Below are 25786 nucleotides of genomic sequence, written 5' to 3'. Positions count from 1 at the left end.
TCTCCATGCCTCACAAGAATCAGGCACTGGAGAAATTACGTTGTTCTTCAGCCCCCTTATGTTTCACAGGTAACACTCTGAAGCCCACAGAATGTATGTGACTTGCCCAAGATCATGTGTTAGTAAGAGAGAATGAACTAGGACCTAGGCCTCCTTCCTACCTCCTCAACATGGCCCTTTCCCAGACACCACACTGCTCAGTTCCACATTCCATCATAGAGCAACTGGACTGGACTCGCCCATTCACTCAGCAAAAATGTACTGAGAACACACCTAACATGCTAAGTCCCGGATATAAGTCAAAAAAATGTAAGATTCCATCCTCCCCCTTCCCAAAGGAAACACAACAACAACAACAAAAATAGTCAAAATAAACAGGTAAATAGGTGAGGACAAGACTTAGCACAGGCTTTAAGATTGGACAGACCTGGACACACAGCCTGACTCTATGCTTTACTAATGGTGTGACCTTGAGCTTCTGTGTTCTCTTGTATAAAATTTTGTGAAAATTTTTCAGAGGTGGTTTGTGAGGATTAAATGTGATAGCCTTTATTTTCTTAAAATACCATAGTGTCTGGACTATACTATTACTATACTGCTATTACTCTAGTAAGGGGCTCAGCAATGGTGGTAATTACCACTACTACTGGCTGACATGAGGCTGACAGAGGGAGGAGTACTTGTGGTCCCTTTTCTTCATTCTCCCATCAGATAGCCTAGAGTCCTCACCTTCCTGCCATCTGTACCACACAAATGGGGAGAGTTATTGGTAAGTTACAAGGGGCCCAGGAATGCCTCACTTAATGGGTTCTGCCTGCAGCAGGACTTAGTATCTCTCAATCTCTCTCTCTCAATTTCTCAGGCTATCTCAGTAAACCACTGCTATTTAATTCTTCAGAGTCAATCAGTCATCCACCAGTCCAAACTTGTACACGTTCCTGCAAGATATAATTTGGAACCTTTGCCTAATAAGTTTTTATTAATAGTAAGATTATCAGACTAAGATGAAAACTGCTACACTAAAAAACAAAAAAGTATACTGAGAGCTTTCCTAGATATGCCCTTTATCCATTGTCTTTATAATTCATTTAACTTATAACAATGTAGGGCATTACATTAAAAAGCAACACGGGATCCTTACCCTCACAAGCTCTCCTGGAGGAGGGAGAATAAATACTGGTAAACACCAAGTAGTGAACATGGAAACATAAAGGCAGTTAGGGCTATATAAAGACAGGCACGTTAGTGTTCAGGAGGGAGAACATCTATAAGAAACAAGAGTTAGTAGAATGTTGGTCAGAAATGAAGCAGGACAGCACCTGTTTGGAAAGACTTCAAGGGAAGAGTTCTGAAGGGCAGTGGGTGATGAACAGAGAGGTGGCTTCAGGTTTGAAAAGAAATAACAAAGCAGGGATGTCAGGAGATAACAGGGAAAGTAACCCTCTAAGAGCAGAGAGCAAAGGTGAGGGGATTTGCAAATTCCTCCAGAACACTGCAGTACTCACACAGTCAGAGCAAACCAAAGAGTTAAATAAAACTGATTTATTAAGGCAGATGTGAATTATATTGCATTCTCTCCCCATTACTTGTTTATCTGTATTCATCAGGTAATGAGTCAGCTTTCTGTTCACGGTTATCACGAATGGGAATGAGAATGTTCCAAAGCCAAACCCCAACATATAACTTCAAAGGTCCAGAAGTGAATTATTGGCCCCATAGAGATCTCTGAAAGGTTAGAGACATCTAGGAATGACAGGATTCTTTAAAAATTATTAAAAATTATAAGAAGAGGATCTAGAAAATTACAGAAATACTTATTTTTTTAATTCTAAATGTTTTTGTTACCATGTCTTGCCACATATGACGGCAAGTTTTTAATAACTAGAAAGTTTATATTTTTGCTTTTTGTACAGCGTTTAATACAACAGCACCATGTTGTCAATGGATACTTTTATAAACATTTGTTGACTAACTTGGCTGTTCTTCTTACTACAGTCATGACACTCACACATATCCCTTTCAGAAACCTTGATTTGCTCCTCTACAAAGTCACTGCAGGCCACATCGGTGAAATTTATATAGGAAAATAATAATTCTCATTTAGCGAGCTCGTTTGATGTGACAGGCACTATTCTAGTGCTTTACTCATCATTTCCAATCCTTGATGATTAATGAATATCACTGTATGATAAAGCAGATGTCATTACAGATGAGAAAACAAGGGCTTAGAGAAGAGAAGCAACTTCCTCAAGGCACACAATTAGTATGTCACTGAGAGGAAACTACAGTCCAGCTCTACCTAATGTGAAAGAGAGAAGAAGGAAAGAAAGAAAAAAAGAGAGAAAGAAGGAAGGAAGGAAGGAAGGAAGGAAGGAAGGAAGGAAGGAAGGAAGGAAGGAAAGAAAGAAAGAAAGAAAGAAAGAAAAAAAAAGAGAAAGAGACAAGGAGGGAGGGAAAAGAGAACTATACCTCAAATTTTGAGAGTCACAGAGAGAAAGATAGATAGATCTAGAAAAAGGGAGGAAAAAAGTCATAAAAACAACTCACCCTTCTTAAACAAGGCACAGCTGAGAATTCAAATCAATTATATTTCCCAGCCCAGAAAATGTTTAGCAAACCACAGATTTTTTAGGGCTCCAGTATTATTCCACAGCACCTCTTTCCAAACACCCTTTTTCTTCTATTACTATATATTACTGGATATTTTTAGAAAATATTGGTAACTCATCAATGAATGTCTCCCTTCTCTCCCAGCAAGGAAGGGAGAGCAGGAGAAAGGAAGGAAGGAAGGAAGGAAGGAAGGGAGGGAGGGAGGGAGGGAGGGAGGGACCGTCTTCATAGACCTCTACAATAGTTTTTCAAATGAAAAATTAAATATCCAGTAAATAAGTCCCAACAGTCACCACACAAGATTGAAACCAGACTCTGAAGCCAGCTAAGAGCTCTTTTTCTCCATTTCCCAAAAAACAGTGATCACTGAGTCAGATATCTTCGGGTTACCTACACACCTGCAGCCATGTGCCAGGAGTTCTGCTACAGAGAGAAAATCAACCAGGTTGGAAATAATTGCAGCATAAGGTCTCACTTTATTGCCACTGATAAAAGAAATCTTACCAGTCAACAAAATCTCATAGCAACAATCCACAATGCCTCTTGCCACTTAGAAAGGTAGATCTTGTACAGAACACCTACCCTGTCCCTGCCCATCCCCCAGCTTGGCTCACTTCCAGTGGGAAGTGACTGTGTCTGGAAAGGAACTGGCCAACTTTGACAGCAGCCTCAACTCCCACAGCACACTGGCTCCGTGTTCTTTAGGATGGTGCCCTGGCTGGGCCACAGGAACAACATCAGCCTCTACAGAAGCAGTGGGGAAAGGCCAGTTGCACTGACATTGTTATTTCTGGACTGGTTAGCATGTCAGGGAACATGAGGCCATGCAAGGACTGAAAGAGGCTCTTGTTGAAATGGAGCTGCCTCTTTTCTTTCCCCACACTACTTCAAGGGGGAAGTGCACTGCTCCTGTGCCCCACTCATCTTCTTATCTGAACCTCCAAAAAATGACAACTACAACTTTGAGAATCCACTGTAACAGCAATGCCATGCAGATGATATTTTCAGCTGAATTGGACACTTAGAGCAATGCCCAAGGAGCTGGTTAAATAAGAAAGCCTATGTGAAGAGGCTGGGTAAGGTATGAAGCACTACAGAAATGTGCCTTTATGATATAAGCAGAAACAGGAGACTGATCAGGAGACATAGCTCAGCCTAGACAAAACCAAAGCAATGCTCATCACAATAGAAGGAAAGAAATCAAAATTCCAGAAGAAAGCCGGGGGGAGGGGGTGGCAGAGGGTGGACTTTAAAACGTCTTACCCTTCTTAAATAAGCCACAACTGTGGAATTCAGATCAATTCTATTTTCTAACCCAGAAGATGTTTAGCAGATCACAGATTTATTTGGGGCTCCAATATTATTCCACAGCCCCTCTTTCCAAACACCCTTCTTCTATTACTAAATGGTTAGGTTTCTTTTAGAAAATATTGATAACTTGTCACTGAATCTCTCCTTTCTCTCTCAGCTTGAATCTCCAGGGGAAAAAAATAACAAAAGAATAAAAAATAAAAGAAAGAACAGTGTGGTTTAAAAAAAAAAAGTGGGGACAGAAGACCTGAAATGTCTTAGATCTGAGATCTGACTTCCTCTTGTAGACATGTTTTCTTTATAAATTGCCTTTATGAACACCCGCTTAGTGGCTTCACGATCCTGCAGCCTTTCACTGTGGCACATGCTGACTTTTATGCGCCACAAGTTTCCCCTTTCCATCCCACTCACAATGCCTGGGTTCAATCCCTTGTCACCTTTTGCCTCACTGAGGGAGCGAACACCCCACTGCCCTACCTCCAGGATTGGTCTCTCCAAGCCACCCTCCATTCTGCCACCCAAGTAGCATCCTAAACTTTAAATCCCTTCATGTTCTCCTTTGTACCATTTTTCATTATCTATTCATTACCTATAGCAGTGGTTCTTAATGGTTTCTTGGAGATCTGATTACAGCTTTGGTCACTTTTTTTCATCCCTTGAAAACAAATCACCCATAAGCAATAAATCCTGAGTTAAGAACCCTTGGCCTAGAGCAGAGGTCTCCAAAGGGGTAAGCACCAGATGATACATATGGTATAGAAAAACAATGTTAGCATTCCGATTTTTCCATATTCCTACTCTTTAGCAAAACTAAAAAGAAAATAATTAGAAAGTAATTTAAATGTATGCATGTTGAGTGTATGGAATGATACTGATGCCCTCACCTAACCCAGCTGAGTTTCCCTGAAGGAAGAACTCTTAAAGGGTCCCACAAGTGAGAGGTGATGGGGGGATCCACATTTATTTCTTCACTCTCAGAATATTGGAATGAATTGCATTCTACATGCTAGAGGATGTTATCAATAGTTAATTTGATAAAATTAAGCCCTTTATATATAAAGAAGGTTCTTGGCAAGTCTTTTAAGTTTGATGAAAAAGTTTATTGAACTTAAAAGACTTGCCAAGAACCTACTTTATAAAGGGCTTAATTGTATCAAATTAACTGTCCTTACTAGTTGGCTAGTTATTTTGTAAGCAAATACTTAACAGTTATCCAACTAAAAGTGGACTTGCACATTTTTCTTTTACAAAAGACAAGGCTCCCAAGTTGTCTAACCTTTCCTGTGATGACTAGTGGCTGCCAGGATTATGCAGATATTTTCAGAAAAACGGATATGCTTAATGTCTTTTCAAGGTAAAGGTAACATTTTAATAGTGAATAAGAAAGTAACTGCTTTTCTAAATTAATTTGTTGCTTTGAAAATGGGTGTGCTAGCAGCTTCTGAGGTTGCCCCTGCTGATCTTCTCTTCCCGGTATCTATGTCCTTGTGTGATTCCCTGCCCTAGAATATGGACTGGACTTAGTAACTCTAATAAATAGGATTATGTAAAGAGTTACTTCTGAGATTATGTTACAGAAAGACTGAGACTTATATCTTATTCACCCTCTCTTACTCTCTCTTTATTGAGAAGCCCATGGCAAGGAACTACCACCTCTAGCCAACAGCTGACCAGGACCTGAGGCATGCCAACAGGCACGTGGGGGAACTTGGAAGCAGAGCCTCAGTCAATTTGGCCTTGAGCTGACTGGAAGGCCGGCCAACCCCTCAGTCACAGTTTTGTGGGAGACTCTGACCCAAAATAATGCAGCTAAGCCACTCCTGGGATCTGTGACCCACAGAAACTATGAGATAAGAAATGTCGGCTGGGCACGGTGGCTCATGCCTGTAAACCCAGCCGAGGCGGGCAGATCACGAGGTCAGGAGATCTTCCTGGCTAACACAGTGAAACCCCGTCTCTACTAAAAATACAAAAAATTAGCCAGGCATGGTGGTGGGTGCCTGTAGTGCCAGCTACTCGGGAGGCTGAGGCAAGAGAATGGCGTGAACCCGGGAGGCGGAGCTTGCAGTGAGCCGAGATCGCACCACTGCACTCCAGCCTGGGCGACAGAGCGAGACTCCGTCTCAAGAAAAAAAAAGAAAAGAAAAGAAATGTCTGTTGTTTTACCATACTAATTGTGGGGATGATTTGTTATGCAGCAAGAGATAACTCATACAATTGGGGAAATGTTTCCTCATCATTGATTTAATGGCTAAAAGTAATGTGACTGTGTCTCATTAAAAAAAAAAAAAAAAAACAAAACAAACAAAAAAACCTTTCCTATCTGCACATTAAAAAAAAGATGAGAAACAGAATTTTCTAGCCTGTGTCTAAATAATTCAGATTATGAATTTGAACCAACTACTAAAAATATTAAAATGCAACATCTTCCAAAGAGTTTACAAGAATGACTAAATGATATCAGGAAAAACAGAAAGTTATTAATTACATTTCAAGAAAAACCTAAGTACAGTGTTTAAGACTGAAAAAAAAAACTGCAAAAACTGCATTATGACTTAGTTATAATGCCAACAAACACTCCTTCAATCGGAACTGCACTTCACTATTTGTGAAGTGTCTTGATTTAATTAAAACTAGAAATCAAAATAAACTGAACTTAGAACCAGTCCTTTAAATTACCCCATCATAAAGTGTTAAATCAAATTTTTCAAAAACATATCTGCATTTTCAAACACATTATTCATTCTAATGTTTAAGAAAATTTTATAGGAGCAAAAACTAACATTATCTTTAAATATTTCCTATTTAATTACATCTGTGTGTATTTCCGAAGGGATATAAGAAACTAATCTGATAGTGTATATATAAAAATAAATATATGCAAATAAACACATATTTGAAGAGTATATGCTCAAGTTATTTTTACTGGTAGGTGTATGCAATTAAAAGAGTTTATATAGCCCTGACCTCAAAGACAATTCCAAATGCTTTCCCTCAGTTGGCACAACCTATCTTTTTAGTCCTGGTCTTAGAGCCACTTGCAATTCTCAGGACACGATTGACTGAGCTTAGAAGCAGATCCTGTTGCAGAAGTCCCTTTCTACACCACTACTCCTATACCCACTCCCAAGTCCATGGAAGAATTCCTCCTCATATTTCAACGCCTAGCTTACTTGTCAAACAATTCATAACATTTCCTCCCTCCTTCCCCTCCTTTCACCTCTTAATGCTCTCAAAGTTCCTTTTTAACCCTTTTATTACAGAACTTACCATCCTATGTTATATTTTAAGGATTTGTTTCTGTTCCATTTACCCTTAACAAACCAAGGGCTTTCTACAAAATTTGCTTAGTAGCAGGTAGTATGCTGAAAATGCTGTTGAATACATGAATTAATGGATGAACTAATTTTTTCAGAACTTTTTTCCTGTGGCTCAAACTATAGCAAGTTGAAAAGGGAATCTCCTGTCTTATTCCAGTCAGATATCTGTATATCTCACCACCAACATTTAACTTAATAATTATTTTTCCAAAAAAAATTAAAAATTAATTTAAGTAACAGATTCAGCATTTCTGAGCAGATTTCTTACAACCGTGTAAGCAGCAATATCCTATGGTAAGGAGCCAGACTGTGTCAGGTTAAATCCACCTTTGGCACCTATTAACTCTGTAATATTGGATATATTAAATATCCTCATTGCACCTCCATTTCCTCATCTGGTAAAATGGGGAAAATAAGATATGGCACAGACCTTATCTTATTAAAGGTCCATAAATGTTGCTTGTTATCCTGTTGACGTTTTGCAGATGTATTAAATAAATATTAAGTGCTAAATATACTCCCAGACTAAGCCTCCCTGGACCTCCAGTGAATGCACACAGCACACACAGAGATAAGCATGTTAAGGACAGGAGCTCTGTCTACTTTTATTTTCATTGTAGCCCTAGAACCTGGCACATAATAGGTGCTCAATTACTGTTTGTTGATTGATTTCAGAATTCCCCATACATTTCTGCCTTATACAGATTTGAATCCACATTGTAGTTTCAGACTACCCTTTCCAAAAGCATTCTCAGGATGGCTATTGTCAGAATCAGGATGTGGAAAAACAGTTAATGTGGTTATGTTGCAGGAAAAGCTGAGAAGAAGACCTGAAAGGAAATGACAGTTCAATAAAGACCAACATTCTATCAGTAAAATAATGGGAAATGATTCATAAACGCAGTATTTACACACAAGTACAAAATGTTCTAGTACTTCAGAAAGTAAAGAAGGTTCATTTAAAAACAAACAACAACCTTGGCAGACTCTAACATAGAATTAAAAACTTTTAAAAATTAAACCAATTCTATTGTCAGAATTCTTTTGATTGTCAGCAGACTAGAACAAGATTAACTAGTATAAGAAAGAAATTGTACGGTGTCACATAGGTGCCAAATTTAGAAGACTGTCTCGCCAACTTAAAGGTCTCTTCAGGTGGGCCCGTCCATCTCTCTACCCCTTTCTCCACACATCTGTTCATCCCTCTGACTCCAGCCTCTCTCTAGATTTTTAGTTTTTTATCTCTTACTACGGGCAAGTTTCCTTGATTTGGCAGTGGAAAAAAAAAGGGGGAGAAAGGCTGCAAATGACTGCAAGCAAACTGCATCCCAGCTCACTGGCCAGAGGTGAAAGGTTTCCTTTCCTCTTAGCTGCATATAGGGTGGGAAGGGATGCTGGGAAGACCGGACAATGTGCATCCACCACATCCAAAAAGGAAAACATGCTCAGAATTCTACTACCACACACAAACTACATCTCATCTTCACACTTCCTTCCAACATTAATGAATAACTTTTAATTACTATCCTGGTACATATTTTTTCTTTTGGCTTTTTGTCTTAAGCATTTTACCTGTTCCTCCAGAGGCTTTATAATGACCAGATTTAAGTGTCTAAAAGTCATTATGCAATAATTCACCTATCATTTCCTTAATGATTAAAATTTATGTAATTTCCAGATATAGCTACATTTAAAATACATTATAATTATTCTCCTCTTACCTGAAACATGTTACTTTAAAAAAGTATCTCCTTAAGATAATTCTCAGAAATTGAAATAATGGGTGCAATGTTAAGAACATTTATATAGATCTGGTTCTTAGGATACATTATCAAATTTTTGTTCAAAAAGTTGTATTAAATTTCAGTGTCTCCACAATACATACGTGCTGCAGCATCACCATATCTTCATCAGCAGTGAGAATCATATGCAGATAAACGTTTAAGTCATGGTTCCTAAACATTCTCACTAGCTCAGAATGCCGTCATTAATCCTACTACACTTATGGCCTGACCTCCTCACCTGGGAAGACACAGGAAACTGCCAAGCATAGTTCTAGCACACAGTAGGCACTCACTAAAAGTTAGATAAAATTTCAACTGAATGTATTATGTTCCTATTCATGTTTCCAGGGAAGATCAGCTTTTGAAATGTTAGCTTTGATCATACTAACTATAGAAAAAAGATAAGCAAAAAAATATATATCTTCTGGTTACTTCTATGAAAACCTAAGACAGAAGACACAGGACTTACCTTTTTATCTGTCTACTCCCTTGATCTTCTCTTATCTCTGTTTTGGCAGAAAGGACAAATAAATCTGAGGGTTTTGTATTTTTTTTACACAGAAGCATAATGCAATTAGCACTGGTCCTTTTTAAAGACTGTTGTATTTTTAAAGATTAACCAAGCCTACCGTTGCTTAATTAATGTTGTGGGTCAAAACCCTGGATGCCCATCAGAATGACCTGTAGTGGGATTTTAAAATGTAGATATCTAAACCTCTTCCCAAATCCTCTGGTTTAGAATCTCCAACAGGTGGAGCCAGGTATTTGTAATTTTTTAAATCTCCACGAGTGATTCTGACACACAGCCATGGTTTGAGAACCAAATAAATCAACCAGTAATGAGGCATGAGTATTAATGTCAGTTATTCTTAGCCCTTCAATTTAAATTGCAAGCTAAATTTATTAGGGTTTTTTCCTTCTCCCTTTCTGCTGTTTCATGTGTCCATGTGGAGAAGGTTCCACAATAGCAATACTCCCCTCTCTCAACCAGTGCGATTGCTCAGCACCTCTGCCTGCCCTCTGCAGACCAGCCTGCAGCACCCATTCTGTCCCCCTACCCCAGGAAGCCTGTAGTTCTTTAGGTTTCCAATGACTGGCAACTGGGGATGTCCTCTTACTGCCTGACTGAAGGACTGGCAAGTCCCCTGAGCTAACACATCCATGCCACATTCTCCAGAATCCACTGACCTCTGGGACCCTCTCTCAATCTCCTTGTCAGCAACTGGGCCAGGAAAAGCGTGCTTATTTCTTGGGCTCCCTCAAACCCCACCTCTAGTTGTCTGTCTATGCATTTCATCTTCCTCGCTAGACAACATGCTCATTGAGGGCAAGTTTGCATATCTCTCCCTATGGTTTGTAAGGCTCAGAGCTTAGCACATACAGATACCAGACAGGTACGTGAAGAGCAAACATGGGCAGAAAACTGAGGTCCAATCTACACCTACGCCATGCCAAACACCACGTGAAGCCTTTATCTACCTTAGTTCATGCTACCCATACACACTCCTATGAGATAGGATTTAACATTCCCAAATTGCAGGCAAGAATAGAAATGGTCATCAAATGAAGTTCAGTCCATCAAAGACTATAGGCAAGAGCATTAAAAAAGTGGGATTGCATTGCTCTTTTTCTACCTGCTGCCTAGTTTTCTTGAGATAATTTACTGTAAGCACATAGCCGGAAGTCCACATATCCCTTATATGACAGACATGTAGTTATCTAGAGATGTGTTCTCTGTTGGAAATTGTCTAATTGATGAGATCTGACCCAGACAAGTGTTTTCTTTCGATGTTGTTCATTATCATGCAATCTTGGTATTTTAAATAGGATTATGCCGTTTGGGCTGGGCACTTAAAATTTCCCTAAGGGCCAAGGCTGAGTAATTTTCAGGTAATGAGCTTTAATGTCCAAGGAAAGAGACATCCTGAATCACCTTCTGAACCTGTGCCATGAATCTGCTGTAAAACTCAGTATCAGTAGTTCTAGAACCTCACATAATTGATCTTGTGACTTGAAATTGAATCACTTTCAAGGTTTCTTCCAAAGTGGTTTTGCCCTCCTGAACCATACTCTATTACAGCTACACTTATCCAGTCAGCTGAAGAAAAAGAAAATGATAATTCTCTGGTGTTCCTGCCTTTGTTGAGCAGCCTTTAAAGTCACTCTGAGCCCATTTCACCCTCAAGAGCAGAGGCACGCCAGAGGCAAACTCTCCCAGCCTGGAAAAAAAAAAAAAACACTTAGGTAAAATGCAGAGGAAAAGGAGATCTTACTGCTCGTGAGCCAGACTTAGGGATTCAGTCTTTCATACTCCAGGGGCTCTGAGTCACTGTGCTGTGGAAGTGATCTGAGTTATATAAATCCTTGTGCACATCACCAGAGAGAGACTCTATGTCAGTGTGCAATATTAGTGTGCAAAGTATAGTAAAATCTGTGAAGCCAGACCCCACTAGTTCAAAACTAGGGATCATAAAACCTTATACCTGGCACTATCTCCTGTTACAGATGAGTAAACAGGCTCATAGAAGTTGAGTGACTTGCCGGAAACCACATGGGTATTGAGTAGCAGGACAGTAGTTTGAAGGTAGTTCTCCAGAATTTAAGTCCAGTGCTCTGTTTTTAAAGAATATTTCCTGTAAATGCAGGGAAAGCTGAAATTTAACTTTATTCTAAGAAAAATATCACTTATAATCTAAAAAAGCCTAACTGAGGATATAGGTGAGGGTAAGCAGAAAGAGATATGTTTTTCCTACTTAAAAGAGATTACTGGGCTTGAGGAAGAAGTAGGAGGTAAGAATTAGAGGTCCACTCTTGAATTTATCAGCTGGGTAATTGAGGGGAAGTTAGTTGACTTTCTAGTTGTGAATGTCCAGTTTTTGACCTATAAAATGGACCTACTCACAGGGTTATTACAATTATTAAATGAAAGAGTACAGATAAACTAGCTGAAACTTAGCAGGTGCTCAATAAATGTTGCTACTCTTCCTTGAAACAGCTATAAATTAACACATTATTCTTATCCATTCAGTAGAGAGCTCTCCCAAGGACTCTTACTTCATGTTTTTTGGCCTTTTATTGGGTCTACTTATTGGCTTAATTGTTTATTGTCTGCTTCCTCCTACTAGAAGGTAAGCTAAAAGATAGCAGGCCTTTTTCTATCCAGTTCCACTCTTTATTCTCAGTTCGTAGGACAGGACTTGACCGATAGTGACAATTAGAAAAATTTGCCAGGCCAGGCACGATGGCTCATGCCTGCAATCTCAGCACTTTGGAAGGATGAAGCAGGCGGATTGCTTAAGTTCAGGAGTTCAAGACCAGCCTGGGCAACATGGCGAAACCCTGTCTCTACAAAAAATACAAAAATTAGCTGGGCTTGGTGGCACATGCCTGTTAGTCTCAGCTACTTGGGAGGTTGAGGCAGGAGGATCATCTGAGTCTGGGAGGTGGAAGTTGCAGTGAGCCAAGATCACACCACTGTACTCCAGCCTGGATGACAGAGCCAGACCCTGCTTCAAAAAGAAAAAAAAGAAAGAAAGAGAGGAGAAAGAAAATAAAAAAATAAAGAGAGAGAGGGAGGGAGGGAGGGAGGGGGGGGAAGGGAGGGAGGGAGGGAAGGAAGGAAGGAAGGAAGGAGGCAGGGAGGGAGGGAGGGAGGGAAGGAGGGAGGGAGGGAAGGAAGGGAGGGGAAAGAAAGAAAGAGAAAAGGAAAGAAAGAAAGAAAGAAAGAAAGAAAGAAAGAAAGAAAGAAAGAAAGGAAAGAGGAAAAAGAAAGAAAGAGAGAGAAAAAAGGAAGAGAAAGCAAGCAAGCTTTGCCAAGTAACATAAAAGAATTAACAGCTTCATAGGGAGAAGTGAACCCACTTCCCCCACCATAATCCTTTTAAGAAAAGAAGATTTCACTAATTCTTTTATCCTAAATTTTTCCTGTGTACAGAACATGGTTTTATGCATATTTTAACTTATGTATGTATATGCATATATATCCAATATCAAAATAAAGTATATACCCTTTATGAGGTAGTTGTTGTCACTGAAGAAAGAATAGATACTTGGGGAGAAACAAAGAGAAGCTCAATATTAATCTACAAATGTCTTACTTCTTTTACATTAAAAATGATAGACAAAGTCAAACAAGAGCTAATTTAATCAGAGGGGTAGAAACTGTGTGGGAAAATGGCATTGATACAGAAGAAATAGAAGCTGACCCTGTCCTAACAAATTTATGAAGTAAATAGTCCTATTCCAAGTTTACAAATTGGGGAATTGAGGCTTAGCAACTTGTCTAAGATCAAGTAGGCAGCAAGCAGCTGGACCAGGTGGGGAAGTGAGGACAGGGGTTTAGCCATTTAGACCCAACTCATGCCTGGAGGACTCAGCTTGATTTCCCAGCAGATCAGATTACCATTAGCAGAATTCCCAGTGTATCTGCCTCTGGAAAAACCTATATGATCATCATTATTAGAGCAGTGTCATTCCCCAGAGGAGTGAGATCGCTGAATGTCCTTTAGACAAATGATGTATTTGTGACTCATTGCCCTATTATAAATAAAAACACTGTGTTAGCCAATTTTCACCCAGTTATGGTCATTAATAACCCCAAAAAATCTCACTGGCTTTTTAACAACCAAGGTTTACTTCGCATTCACATTTCATGTGTTGGCCATGACTGTGCTCCACATGGCTTTTTCTTTCAGGATCCAGGCTTGAAGAAAGAACTCCTCCGGGGAACATGCTGAACTTGTGGCAGGGGGAAAGCAGAGTGCCAACTGCCATGGCCCTTAAAGCATTTGCCTGGAACTTCTACTCAGACATGGCTTACATCACGTCCTTTCACTCCATTGGCCAAAGCAAGTCACATGGCCAAGTGAGAAGGATAGATAGAGTCCTTCCTCAGGGAATTACTATAAATCGTATGGCTACCTTGCTACCAGCAGGCATTATACAACCTTTAAAGGGTACAGTGAGTAGTTGTGAAAAATACTGTAATACAATATTCCATGGATACCATGTTCTCTGCTTTTGTAATCAACAGGTAGGGTTTCTGTTTTCGTTTCCAACAAACATACTAACACTTGCTTTTTATCATTTCCATAAATTATTTGTTTCAGAGGCAACAGGCTGCTGGAGAAAGTATTTAAATATTCCCTGAAGTTCCCAGAAACTTTCCTTTTCTGGGGGAAATGCAACAAATACTAAACATTCATGACCCATTCTAATATTGTTCTTCCAAAATTATCATGGCCACACCAGGCTGATTTAAATACATTATTGTAGACCCTTAGATTTTTGCTATGTAGTAATACTTCAAAGGAAACAAACAGCATAAATGCCCAGAGTGGGTTCATTTTGTTAAACAATGGTTTCGAATTTTCCCATTGTGGGTATTACAGTCTAAGTAGAAGGAAATTCAATTAGAAGTGTCTGTGCTTTATCTAATGCTCAGCTGTCACCATCTTGAAATTCTTCATAGTTTTTGAACAAATGATCCACATTTTCATTTCGCACTGGACTCCGCAAATTATATAGACAGTCTGGCTTAGAATAGATATTCCCTCTTCTGGAACATTTCCCAATACTTCCGGCGAAACCAGGTACCTCTCCTAGGTGCTCACATAAGGCCCTGTGACTATGGCCCTTGACGCCCTTTACTGAAATTTATAGACTGTCTTCCCGTCTGGCCCGTGTGTTCCTTGAAAGCAGGAACAATGACTAATTCAGCATTGTATTTTCAGCATATACTATGCAACAAATATTTGATGAATAAATTAGTATCAGACATTAGTGTACCTTTGTAAAATTCCCAGTTTGTGAAACTTTTTCTCTGGCAGCTGAAAAACTGCTCATTGCTGCTCTGGTGTTTTTCCTGTGCTCTTTGCCAGGCACTGCCAAGTAAACTGACAGCAGCAGAGTGCCATTTTCCTACACCGTCAGGCTGCTGTGACTTTCCCTAGAGGGACCTGAGCCTTCAGCTGGAGTCTCACATCACTTGGATCTGTCCCCCAGATTGACTTTTTTCCTCCCATACAATATAGAAAATCACATACAGTATTTCACTTATGTTTAATACTTGAAATCTGTGGCTACTGCCAAAAGCATAGGACAAATGCAAATTACCATAGTCCAAAGGAAAAACTAGAAATTTACAAAGAATGCATTTTTTCACATCCCACACAGTAATTAATGGGTCTATTTTCAATTAATAAGGTATTTCTGATGCACGAGAACTAAGTTCAAAATAAATTTCAGCAAACCATAAAAGGATCTACATCTCTTTATATATACTTATCTTTGAATAAAAATAAACTGGAGCATGCGTTACTCATGTAAAAACAAATCTGGACAGTTAACCAATAGCCAAGTTGGGGAAAATATCTGTAAAATCAGCACTCTGTAGACAGACGTATGCAGTACGGTAAAGCACACAGACTTGAAGTACAAACATCTGTGAGTTCAAATCCTGACTGCTATTTACTGGCTGTGTGATCTTGGGTCATTTATTGAAACCTCTCTGAGCCAGTTTCCTCATTTGAAAACTGTGGATAATAATGTCTGTCACCTCATAGGTCTGTTACAGAGATTAAGAAGAAGATATATATGCAGAGCACGTAGCACAGAGCCTGAAACTCAGAAAGCCTCAACAAGTCATATTCACACCCTTCCAGCAGCACTAATGCCCTAATTCCCTCACATTCCCTCCTCTGCCTCTGTCCCATTCACATTCTATTCCTCTCTCCCCCTTCTCCAGATTAATCTCTAGTTACAGATTTGGTTAATCCCCAATGCACAAAAGTCAATAAATTATCTTTTTAAAGGAATATTCTCAAGCCTTTGGTTTTTGTGGATTTATTTCTTCAGTAATGGAAAATTTTCTGTACTGTTTTTTGAAAATATATGAATAAACATACATCAAGGATGCCCTCTCTGACATCAGTAAGTAACTCAGAGATGTCAAATATGTAAAAATGAAGACTTGCTTTGCTTTACCGGAAAAGAAATGGTATCACCAATAACTTTCTGATAAGAGGTGCATTGTATACAACATGAACCTCTTAGATCATCTGAAGGGAACTGTTTTCTATGACATTTTTCCTCTCTAGTTACCTCAACATTCCTCATAAATAATATTTGACAGAAAAAAAATAACTCATAGTACAGCTATAAAAAAAATCTGTCTTCAAATATGCACATCTAATGTTTGCTACTAGGTTTAATTTTCTATGATTTCATCATCCAATAACTCAGGGAGAAAAATGCCTTAACATATCAATTACCAGGTATCTGCCTTGATCAAAATAGCCAGATAGTTACCAAAATCTTAATCTCACATAGAGTTACGTGGATAAGTAAAGTAATGACAGTATTTAACACCACCACAATTTGCTATGAATGAAATTTCCATATTATCAACAAACATCAATTGAGGAATCACTCTATATAGACTAGAATATTGTGCTATAGTGACACAGGTACCAGAATCTGAGACCACAAAAGCCTAGCCAGCCACTTTTTTACTCCACTCTGGAAAGTCTAAAGACTGAAGAGTAGAATCGTCCTTTAGAATGAAGGAGACTGAGAATTAAAGTCAGCAGAGCAGGATTTGAATTGTGGTACAAGCCGTCTGGTCAGACAGGCCTTGAACAAATCATTTAATATCTCTCTGAGCCCTTAATTTTCTCACTTAAAACAGAAACAAATATTATATCTCTTCTTTATTTCAAGAGGTTGGGATGCTTGAATGGAACTATGCATAGGAAAGAATTTTATGAAATATTATGTGAATATGAAGTTGTTTTGTTTGAAATGCTGAAACGAACTGAAGTCCTGTGTCACATTCAAACGTTTGTTAGAGTCACAGGTCCAGCCCATATTCAAGGGGAGGGGATTAGACAAGGACATGGATGCCAGGAAGAGGGGATCAGTGGCAGCAACCTCAGAGGCTGCTACCACATCCATTTTCAAAACAGCAAATTAAGTTAGAAAAGCAGTTGCTTTCTCATTCACTATTAAAATGTCATTTTTACCTTGAAGAGACGTATTAAGCATATTTGTTTTTCTGAAAATATTTGCATAATCCTGGCAGCCACTAGTCATCACAGGATAAGTTAGACAACTTAGGAGCCTTGTATTTTGTAAATGAAAAATGTATAAGTCAACTTTCAGTTGGATAACTTTTAAGCCTTTGGGATAGGTCCCTATAGATGTGCTCACTGTGGAACATATATAAACTATGATTGTGTTGTAAAATTGTATTTAATGTGTGTATCTATCTATCTATATATTTCACATATTACATAATTTATTGTAAATAACCTGAAATATATACCAAAATGTTAATAGTAGTTATCTTTAGATGGTAGAATTACGGGTTATTTTTTCATTTTACTTTATTCTTGTTAGTTTTCTCTTTTTTAGTTGGTGCTGTTGTCTTATGTTTTTGCTTTTGAAATGAAATTGTATTATTTCTGATCATAAGAATATAAAACATTGTAGACAGTATAAAAAGACATAAATTAAAAAGTGAAAATCTCTCACAGTCTCACCACTGGAAGATACCACTCTTAACATTTTGATGCTATCCTTCCAAACTTATTTCTACACATCCCCCTACACACACACACACACACACACACACACACAAACTATAAAAAGAGGATCATACATGCATTTTTTTTAACTAACAGACTTTATTTCTTAGATCAGTTTTAGGACTACAGAAACATTAACCAGAAGGTGTAGAGAGTTCCTATATATTCCCATTCTGTTCACCACCAATTTCCCCTATTATTAACAACTTGCTTTGGTGTGGTACATTTACTACAATTGATAAACTAATATTGATACATTACTACCTAAAATGTATATTAAGATTCATTCCTCTATGGGTTTTGCCAAATGTATGATGTCAGGTATCCACCATTACAGCAACATGCAGAATAGTTTCATTGCCCTAAAAATTCTCTGCACTCCACTTATCTATCCCTCCCTGACTTCCCTCCAATCCCTGCCAATCACAGATCTTTTTACTGTCTCCATGGTTTTGCCCCTCCCAGAATGTCATATACTTGTAGTTATAGAGTATGTAGCCTTTTAGAATGCCAAATGCTATTTTTTCACCTAGCAATATGCATGTAGGATTCTTCAGTGTTTTTTCATGGCTTAATAGCTCATTTATTTTTATAACTGAATAATGTTCCATTATCTGGATATACTTCAGTTTGTTTTATCCTCATTTACTTGAGGACATCTTGGTTGCTTCCAATTTTTGACAACTATGAATAAAGCTACTGCAAACATTTATGTACAGGTTTTTGTGTGAAGTTAAGTTTGAGTAAATACCTAGGAGTACAATTGCTGGATCATATGATAAGAGGATGCTTAGTTTTGTAAGAAAGTGTCAAACTGTCTTCCAAAATGGCTGTAGTAATCTGCCTTTTGATAAACAATTTATTGTGGGCATCTTCCCATATAAATAAATAATAACTGCATAGCATTCCATAGCATTCCACATTGCATAGCATTCTACTGTAGCTTATTTAACCATTTCTCTATTAATGGACATCAAGATCATTTCCAGTTATTTACTATTGCAAACAATGCTGAGATAAACATTTTTGTACATACATTCTTATCTTTGAACACTTGTGCAATTATATCCTTTTAGGGAAAAAAATCCAAGGAAATTTAAAAGGCATAAACATATTCAGTTTTAATGAAAGGCTGTACAAATTCACACTCCCATTAGCAGTAAATGAGAATGTTGTATATTCCCATTGCCTCCCATAACAATCCTCTTAGGGCTTACCAATCCAATGGGTAAAACATTGCATATCAATGCAATTTCAGCTGACCTTTCCTTTTTACCCAAAAGGTTTAACATCTCTTCCCTTTTTTTAGTTATTTGCATTTCTTTCCTTGTGAACTGTGTTCATAGGCTTTTTACTTTTGCTATTGAGTATGCAAAAATATGTTGCTTTTTAAAGCTTTCTATATACCTTAGTCTGCTCTCTAACAGGCAGTTTATTAGAATATATACTATCAATTTAATAGTTCCTAAGAGCAAGGAGAAAGAGACATCACCACATTAAATGTATACACTAACTTCAGAAGGAGGGCAGGGACTAGAATAAGGAAATACAGTATTTCTGTGATATGTATTTTTTTAATTTAACTTTTATGGGTGGTGATTTTAATTTTTTATTTTGTTTTATTTTTGCCACCTCAAACTTTTATATTGTCAAATCTGTGGACCATTCTGTTCATTTTTTGAAAGAGAGTGGGGACTAGAATAAGGAAATATAGTATTTCTGTAATATGTATTTTTTTAACTTTTATTGGTGGTGATTTTAATTTTTTATTTATTTTGTTTTATTTTTGCCACCTCAAACTTTTATATGGTCTAATCTGTGGACCATTCTGTTCATTTTCTGGCTTTATTATGCTTTAAGAGGCCTTCTCTAGTCAAAGGCTGTATAAAAATATATACTTAAACATTCTTCAGCTGTTTAATGTGTGTGGTTTAACATGAAAACTTTTTATCCATTTGTAATTTTTGTCTGGATAAGGTGAGATCCCAACTTACCTTTTTCCCCCAAAATGGCTAGCAAGTTGTTCCAGCACTCTTTAAAAACAGTCCATTTTCTTGGCCACTTTATCACATGCTAAATCTTCACATATATTTGAGCCAATTTCTGAACTCAATATTTTGTTCTATTTTTCTGTGTCTCTTTGAAGTTACGACCACACTGTTTTAATTACTGTAGCTTTTAATATCGATAGCCACATGACTCACCTTCTCCAGGTCTTTACTCAAATACCACCTTGTCTGTGAGATCTTGCCTGAGCACCCTATTCACAGCTGCCACTTCCGTCTACTTCCATCCCCTGTCCAAACCCTGGAACTCTACAGCCCCTTCTTTGCTTTATTCTTCTCCTTAACATTTTGCACCATCTGACATCCTATCTATTTTACTTATTCATTTGCATATTGTTTATATCTCCAAATGAGATGATAAGTTCCATGACAACAGAGATTTTTGTCTATTTTTGTCTATTGGTGCCTAGAACAGTGGCTAGAACACCGCCAAGCACAGAGTAGATCCCCAAACATATTTATTGAATGAATCCATGTCTGGTGGAGAAAAACATTCTACATATAACCACTATCCTTCTTTCTGAGAATTCACCAACTCAATTCACATACCAGTTTTCCATGAAATATAGGATTAAAGATCCTATGAATTTCATATTAAGAATATTCTTAATAATTTTGTGATATTTTGTTACCACGAATTCATTTACACAACAAATGTTTATGGTGTCTACTATGTGTCAGACCCTGTTATAGGAGCTGGGGATGCAGCTGTGAAAAAAAAATGGTTTCTGTCCTCATGCAGTGTATGTTCTAGTGAGAATAAATTTCTTTTTCCTTTATATTTTATTATTGGTAATGTTTGGTATATAAGAAAGCTATTGAGTTTCATATATTTTAACTTTTAACTTGTCTTTTTACTAAATTTTTTATTGTTTCAAAAAGTATTACAATTGATTTTGTAGTTTTACTAAATAGACAATTGTATCACCTACTGAGAGTAATAATTTTGTCCTTTCCTTCCCAAAAGCACATACTTCTAGTTGATTTTCCCCTTTTATCCATTAGCACAATGAAGCATTTCATTATAATCTCTGTATTTACCCACACTTGCATTTCTGGAAATTAAATCCATTTTTAAGGTCTGAAAGAAAGTCAGAAAATTTTTTTTAATCTTTAGGCCGGTATAATATATCAGAAGTTTTAATTCAGGTGAATCAAAATATCTGATAGGATACAATTTACAACAGTTGCATGCAACTGATGCAAAAGTCATTCTCAGGAAATATTAATTTTTCTCTCATTCCTGGCAGTTTGTTGATATAAAATTGAAAAAAAAAAAGGAGAAGGATGAAGCTGATTTATGTTTAGGAGGCTAAGTAATTCATTGAATCTCCTACTGCTGAATCTAATTTAAAAATATATATAACCATATTTCTCCATTGAAAATTAGAAAACATTAAATCTACTTATTTATTTTATATTACTTTCTATTTGCCAATTATCTCTGCAAACATTGAAGTGCTAAATACTTCGATTGTATACGCAAGCGTACTGAAATAAGGCTGCATAAGTAAAGTTTTACACCACGTCTGCAAACTAAAATTTCCTGGGGTGTTACATTTTTCCTAATAAAATAAAACAGAGGTTAAGAAATATGATTCAGTGGCCATTTCTACAGCTGAAGTATATGAGACTGCAGCCCTAGGTGTCTTGCCCACGCTCATCTAGCAGACGGCAGAGCCTAGACTCAAACTCTGGTTTTCTGCTACACATCAAGTATTCCTTCTACAGTGCTCTTCCTTTCACTCAGCATTATCTACATAATTAGAAACACTTGAATTTCTTTCCCCATCTGCCTAGAAATTTTCCCCAATTATTACCTTTGCATATTATTTTGGTAGAAAATTATCTCTTATAAAACTCACATGTAGCTTTCAATTTTATGGCATTCTTTTCCTGCAAGTTCATATAATTAATACATGTTTGAAACCAGTAAATTCTTACAACAGGCCTATGTGTAGGGAAGCAGAAATGATGAGTCTTCTGTGATATAAATCAACATTCTAATAGTTAAAAAATAGGTGCACCCATTCATAAGTGTCACAAAGCACTCCACACTGAATAGGAAGGGATATCTGAGTGGCACTGATAACAGCCAAGCCTGAAGAGGAGGCACAACAGCCCATTACAAGCTATTGAAAAGTTCCATAAGAAAAAAAAAAAATGACATACAGCAGGAAATTCCTGACCAGTAGTGTAATTTCTTACATAAATGTGTTGGCAGATAAATGGATTTCTATGACTTTGCTTACGTCTGCTGCTTACTGCCCCTTTAGATATGTCACTTTGCAAATGTATTATAACTTCACTCTGACTCTATTTAATGGTATGATTCAATAAATTGTAGGTTCATCTTAATCTCCTCAAAATACTCTTGGCCTTTTGCCCAAAAGTGGGGGAAGGAATTAGTAACTAAAATAGCAAGAGAAGCTTGCTGTCAGTTAGTCTCCTGGAAAAGTACTATACTGAAGATTCAATATAGCAATACTGTAACTTACTAAGATGGTATATAAGGAATTAGACAGTGGAAAATTTAAGGTACAGATTAAGATTACAGCTACAGGACTATAAACATGGCACTAAAAAGTAAATGAGGCCAGGTGCCTCATTTAGCTGGGTGTGGTGGCATGTGCCTGTAGTGCCAGCTGCTTGGGAGGCTGAAGTGGGAGCATCACTTACGCTCAGGAGGTCAAGGCTGTTGTGAGCCGAGATCACACCACTGCACTCCAGCCTCAGCAACAGAGTAAGACCCTGTCTCAAAAAAAAAAAAAAAAAAAAAAAAGGGCCGGGCGCAGTGGCTCACGCCTGTAATCCCAGCACTTTGGGAGGCCAAGGCAGGCGGATTACCTGAGGTCAGGAGTTCAAGACCAGCCTGGCCAACATGGAAAACCCCATCTCTACCAAAAATACAAAAATTAGCTGGGCGTGGTGGTGGGCGCCTGTAATCCCAGCTACTCAGGAGACTGAGGCAGGAAAATCACTTGAACCTGGGACGTGGAGGTTGCAGTGAGCTGAGATTGTGCCATTGCCCTCCAGCCTGGGCAACAGAGCAAGGCCCCATCTAAAAAAAAAAAAAAAAAAAAGGACTAAATATGTACCGAACTCCATGTATATGAAAATACTGACCTAGATGTCTTCTTTATATAATTTCATGTTATTTTTATAACAATACTGTAAAATAAGCATTATGCCCTCCTTAGAGCTCAGAAAACCGAGTTTCTATGAGATTATATTACACAATTGATGCCCTCCCATTTCCTAGGTAGACCCAGATGTAGTAATACATGGATCTTCCACTTTCAGCCTGTGTAATCCTGAACAAGTCACTGAAAATCTGGGAGCCTCATTTTCCTCACCTGAAAAATGAGTAATGAGACCTACCTTACTACTTCCAAAAGTTATCACAAATACACTTAATAAACTACAAAACAAAACACAAGTGGTGGTTACTCTTATTAATACAAACAACTAGTTAATAAGAGAAAGTGATAGAGACTGATTTCTAAACTGTTTCCTGACACTTTGTTTTCAAATGCTTGATGATGCAATACTGAGCTGTGTTTTCCCAGCAAGGTCTTTGGGGTTGTCAATGAATCATTTCCTTCACATTCACATGAAAGATATGCCTGGGTAGATCAGGTTCCCACCCTGTTTTATCTTAACAACCCATACATTGCAGGTAAGCAAACAATTAGTATTGTTCAGAATTTCACTTACAGAAATCTAACATTCCCTCTCTGCAGATATTTTTCAGCACAAAGAACGGGGACTTTTGGGTCATTGACCTACTGACACTGCATTTACAATGACAAGTTCTATGTCTGCAACGTAAAAGGCAAGAAGACTAAATCTGTTTTCCATTTTTCTTGTGAACTAAACTGGGTTTTCAAAGAATACCTTATGTGGATCTACAACATAAAAGACAGCAAAATAAATATTTTATTAGAATATTTTATCAGTTCAACTTTGTAACATATATTATAAGATTAATCAATGGTAACAATAAGTTTTAAGGAACATAAATTTGAAATTGAAGATTATTCATGACAGTAATAACAAATCTAAAAATAACCTCAGTATCCAATTTATTTTATCTTGCTGTTTGGTTTTTACTAAACTAAGTCTGATTCATAAGCAATTGCATATGAGAACAGTTTTTTAATATTTTGCCACATTTATTCCATTTATTCATCAAACCATCCATTCATCCTTCTATTTTTCATTTGTTTACTGAACCATTTCAAAGTAAATTATAGATAATAGCATGCCTCCCTCGTAAACCTCTTGGCATGCATCTTTTAAAAATTAGGGAGTTTTCTTAACATAGCCACAATACCATTATCACTCCTAAAAATTTAGGGATTCCTATAATAATAATTCTAATATCTAGTCCTTATTCAGAATCCCAATTGTCCCTCAAACTTGTTCTCCCAACAGGATCCAATACGGAATTACACATTGTTTTCATGTTTACATCTCTCAAGTTTAGTTTATCTTAATATAGCTCCCCCTGTGCCCCATCACCTGCTCTTTTTCCCATCCCACTGACCTGAAGAGACCAGAGTAGTGCCCCACATTCTGGAATTTTTTTGAGGGTTATGCCCAATTCTTTCATTTATTTATTTGCTTTTAATTTTAAATTCAAGAGGTATATGTGCAGGTTTATTACATGGGTATAATACCTGATGCTAAAGTTTGAGCTTCTAATGATCCCATAAACCAAGTAGTGAACATAGTACCCTTGCTCCCTCTGTCTCTCCCTCCTTTTGGAATCCCCAGTGTCTATTTTTCCCATCTTTGTGTCCAAGTGTACCCAATGTTTAGCTCCCACTTAAAAGTAAGAACATGTGGTATTTGGTTTTGTTTCTGCATTAATTTACTTAGGATAATGGCCTCCAGATGCATCTACGTTACTGCAAAGGGCATGAATACATTCTTCTCTGTGGCTGCATTGTGAACCTGGTGGATATTCACCACATTTTTTTAGTCCAGTCTACCGCTGGTGGGCACCTAGGTTGATTCCATGTCTTTGCTATTGTGAATAGTGCCATGGTAAGCATAGCAGTGCAGGTGTCTTTTTGGTGGAACGATTTATTTTCCTTTGGGTATATACCCAGTAATGGGATTGCTGGGTTGAATGGTAGTTCTATTATTAGTTCTTTGAGAAATCTTCGAACTGCTTTCCACAGGCGGTGAATTCATTTGCATTCCCACCAGCAGTGTATAAGCATTCTCTTTTATCTTCATTCTTGCCAGTATCTGTTGTTTTCTGAAATTCTGATAATAGCCACTCTGATTGGTGTGAGATAGTATCTCATTATGGTTTACATTTGTGTGTGTGTCTCTTTTTTTTTTTTGAGACAGAGTCTCGCTCCATCTGTAACCCAGGCTGGAGTGCAATGGCACGATCTCAGCTCACTGCAATCTCCAACTCCCAGGTTCAAGCAATTCTCCTGCTTTAGCCTCCCGAGGAGCTTGGACTACAGGCATGCACCACCACACCACACTCGGTTAATTTTTGTACTTTTAGTAGAGATGGGGTTTTGCCATGTTGGCCAGGCTGGTCTCAAACTCCTGACCTCAGGTGATCTGCCTCGGCCTCCCAAAGTGCTGGGATTACAGGCGTGGGCCACTGCACCTGGCCTGTGTCTCTCTTATGATTAGTGGTGCTGAACATTTTTTTATTTGTTGGCCACTTGTATGTCTTTTGAGGAGTGTCAGTTCAAGTCCTCTGCCTACTTTTTAATGGGGCTATTTGTTTTTTCTTGTTGATTTGTTTAAATTACTTATAGATTGTGGATATTAGTCCTTTGTCAGACACATAGTTTGCAAACATTTACTCCCATTCTGTGTGTTGTCTGTTTATTCTGTTGATAGTTTCTTTTGCTGTGCAAAAGCTCTTTAGTTTAATCAGGACCTAATTGTCCATTTTTGTTTTTGTCATGTTAGCTTTCAAGGACTTAGTCATAAATTCTTTGCCTTAATCAATGTCTAGAAAAGTATTTTCTAGTTTTTCTTCTAGGATTTTTATAATTTGAGGTCTTACATTTAAGACTTCAATTCATCTTGGTTAATTTTTGTATATGGTGAGAGGTACGGGTCCAGTTTCA

The 25786-nt window shown here is 37.7% G+C and overlaps 2 long non-coding RNA genes across 7 annotated transcripts in view, besides 2 other annotated features; one reads left to right on the top strand and one right to left on the bottom strand.

Moving 5' to 3' along the window:
• Positions 1–23624, top strand: part of LOC124902923 (uncharacterized) — a 64239-nt gene extending 40615 nt beyond the window's left edge. The window contains exon 2 of one of the 2 annotated variants that reach the window (XR_007063284.1): positions 23420–23624. This is a non-coding gene — a long non-coding RNA (uncharacterized LOC124902923). Of the gene's footprint in view, positions 1–13719; positions 15841–23419 lie in introns of those variants that run through there. The other variant, XR_007063283.1, reaches the window with a different exon arrangement.
• The window catches only part of SLC38A4-AS1 (SLC38A4 antisense RNA 1), a 268904-nt gene that overhangs the window by 198724 nt on the left and 44394 nt on the right, over positions 1–25786 (bottom strand). The window lies entirely within an intron of this gene.
• Positions 23009–23510: an enhancer, noted in NCBI's record as "NANOG hESC enhancer chr12:46824129-46824630 (GRCh37/hg19 assembly coordinates)". NCBI's record gives its function as "activates a minimal SCP1, AML or CMV promoter by ChIP-STARR-seq in primed H9 embryonic stem cells {active_cell/tissue: H9 hESC(primed)}" and the evidence as "EXISTENCE:reporter gene assay evidence [ECO:0000049][PMID:30033119]".
• Positions 23176–23470: an enhancer, noted in NCBI's record as "tiled region #10514; HepG2 Activating DNase matched - State 5:Enh, and K562 Activating DNase unmatched - State 5:Enh". NCBI's record gives its function as "activates a minimal TATA promoter and a strong SV40 promoter by Sharpr-MPRA in HepG2 and K562 cells {active_cell/tissue: HepG2 | K562}" and the evidence as "EXISTENCE:reporter gene assay evidence [ECO:0000049][PMID:27701403]".

Source organism: Homo sapiens, chromosome 12, assembly GCF_000001405.40.
Source record: "Homo sapiens chromosome 12, GRCh38.p14 Primary Assembly".
Taxonomy (NCBI): domain Eukaryota; kingdom Metazoa; phylum Chordata; class Mammalia; order Primates; family Hominidae; genus Homo; species Homo sapiens.
The sequence above is the reverse complement of the archived record's forward strand: the minus strand, read 5'-3'. Positions and strand labels throughout refer to the sequence as shown.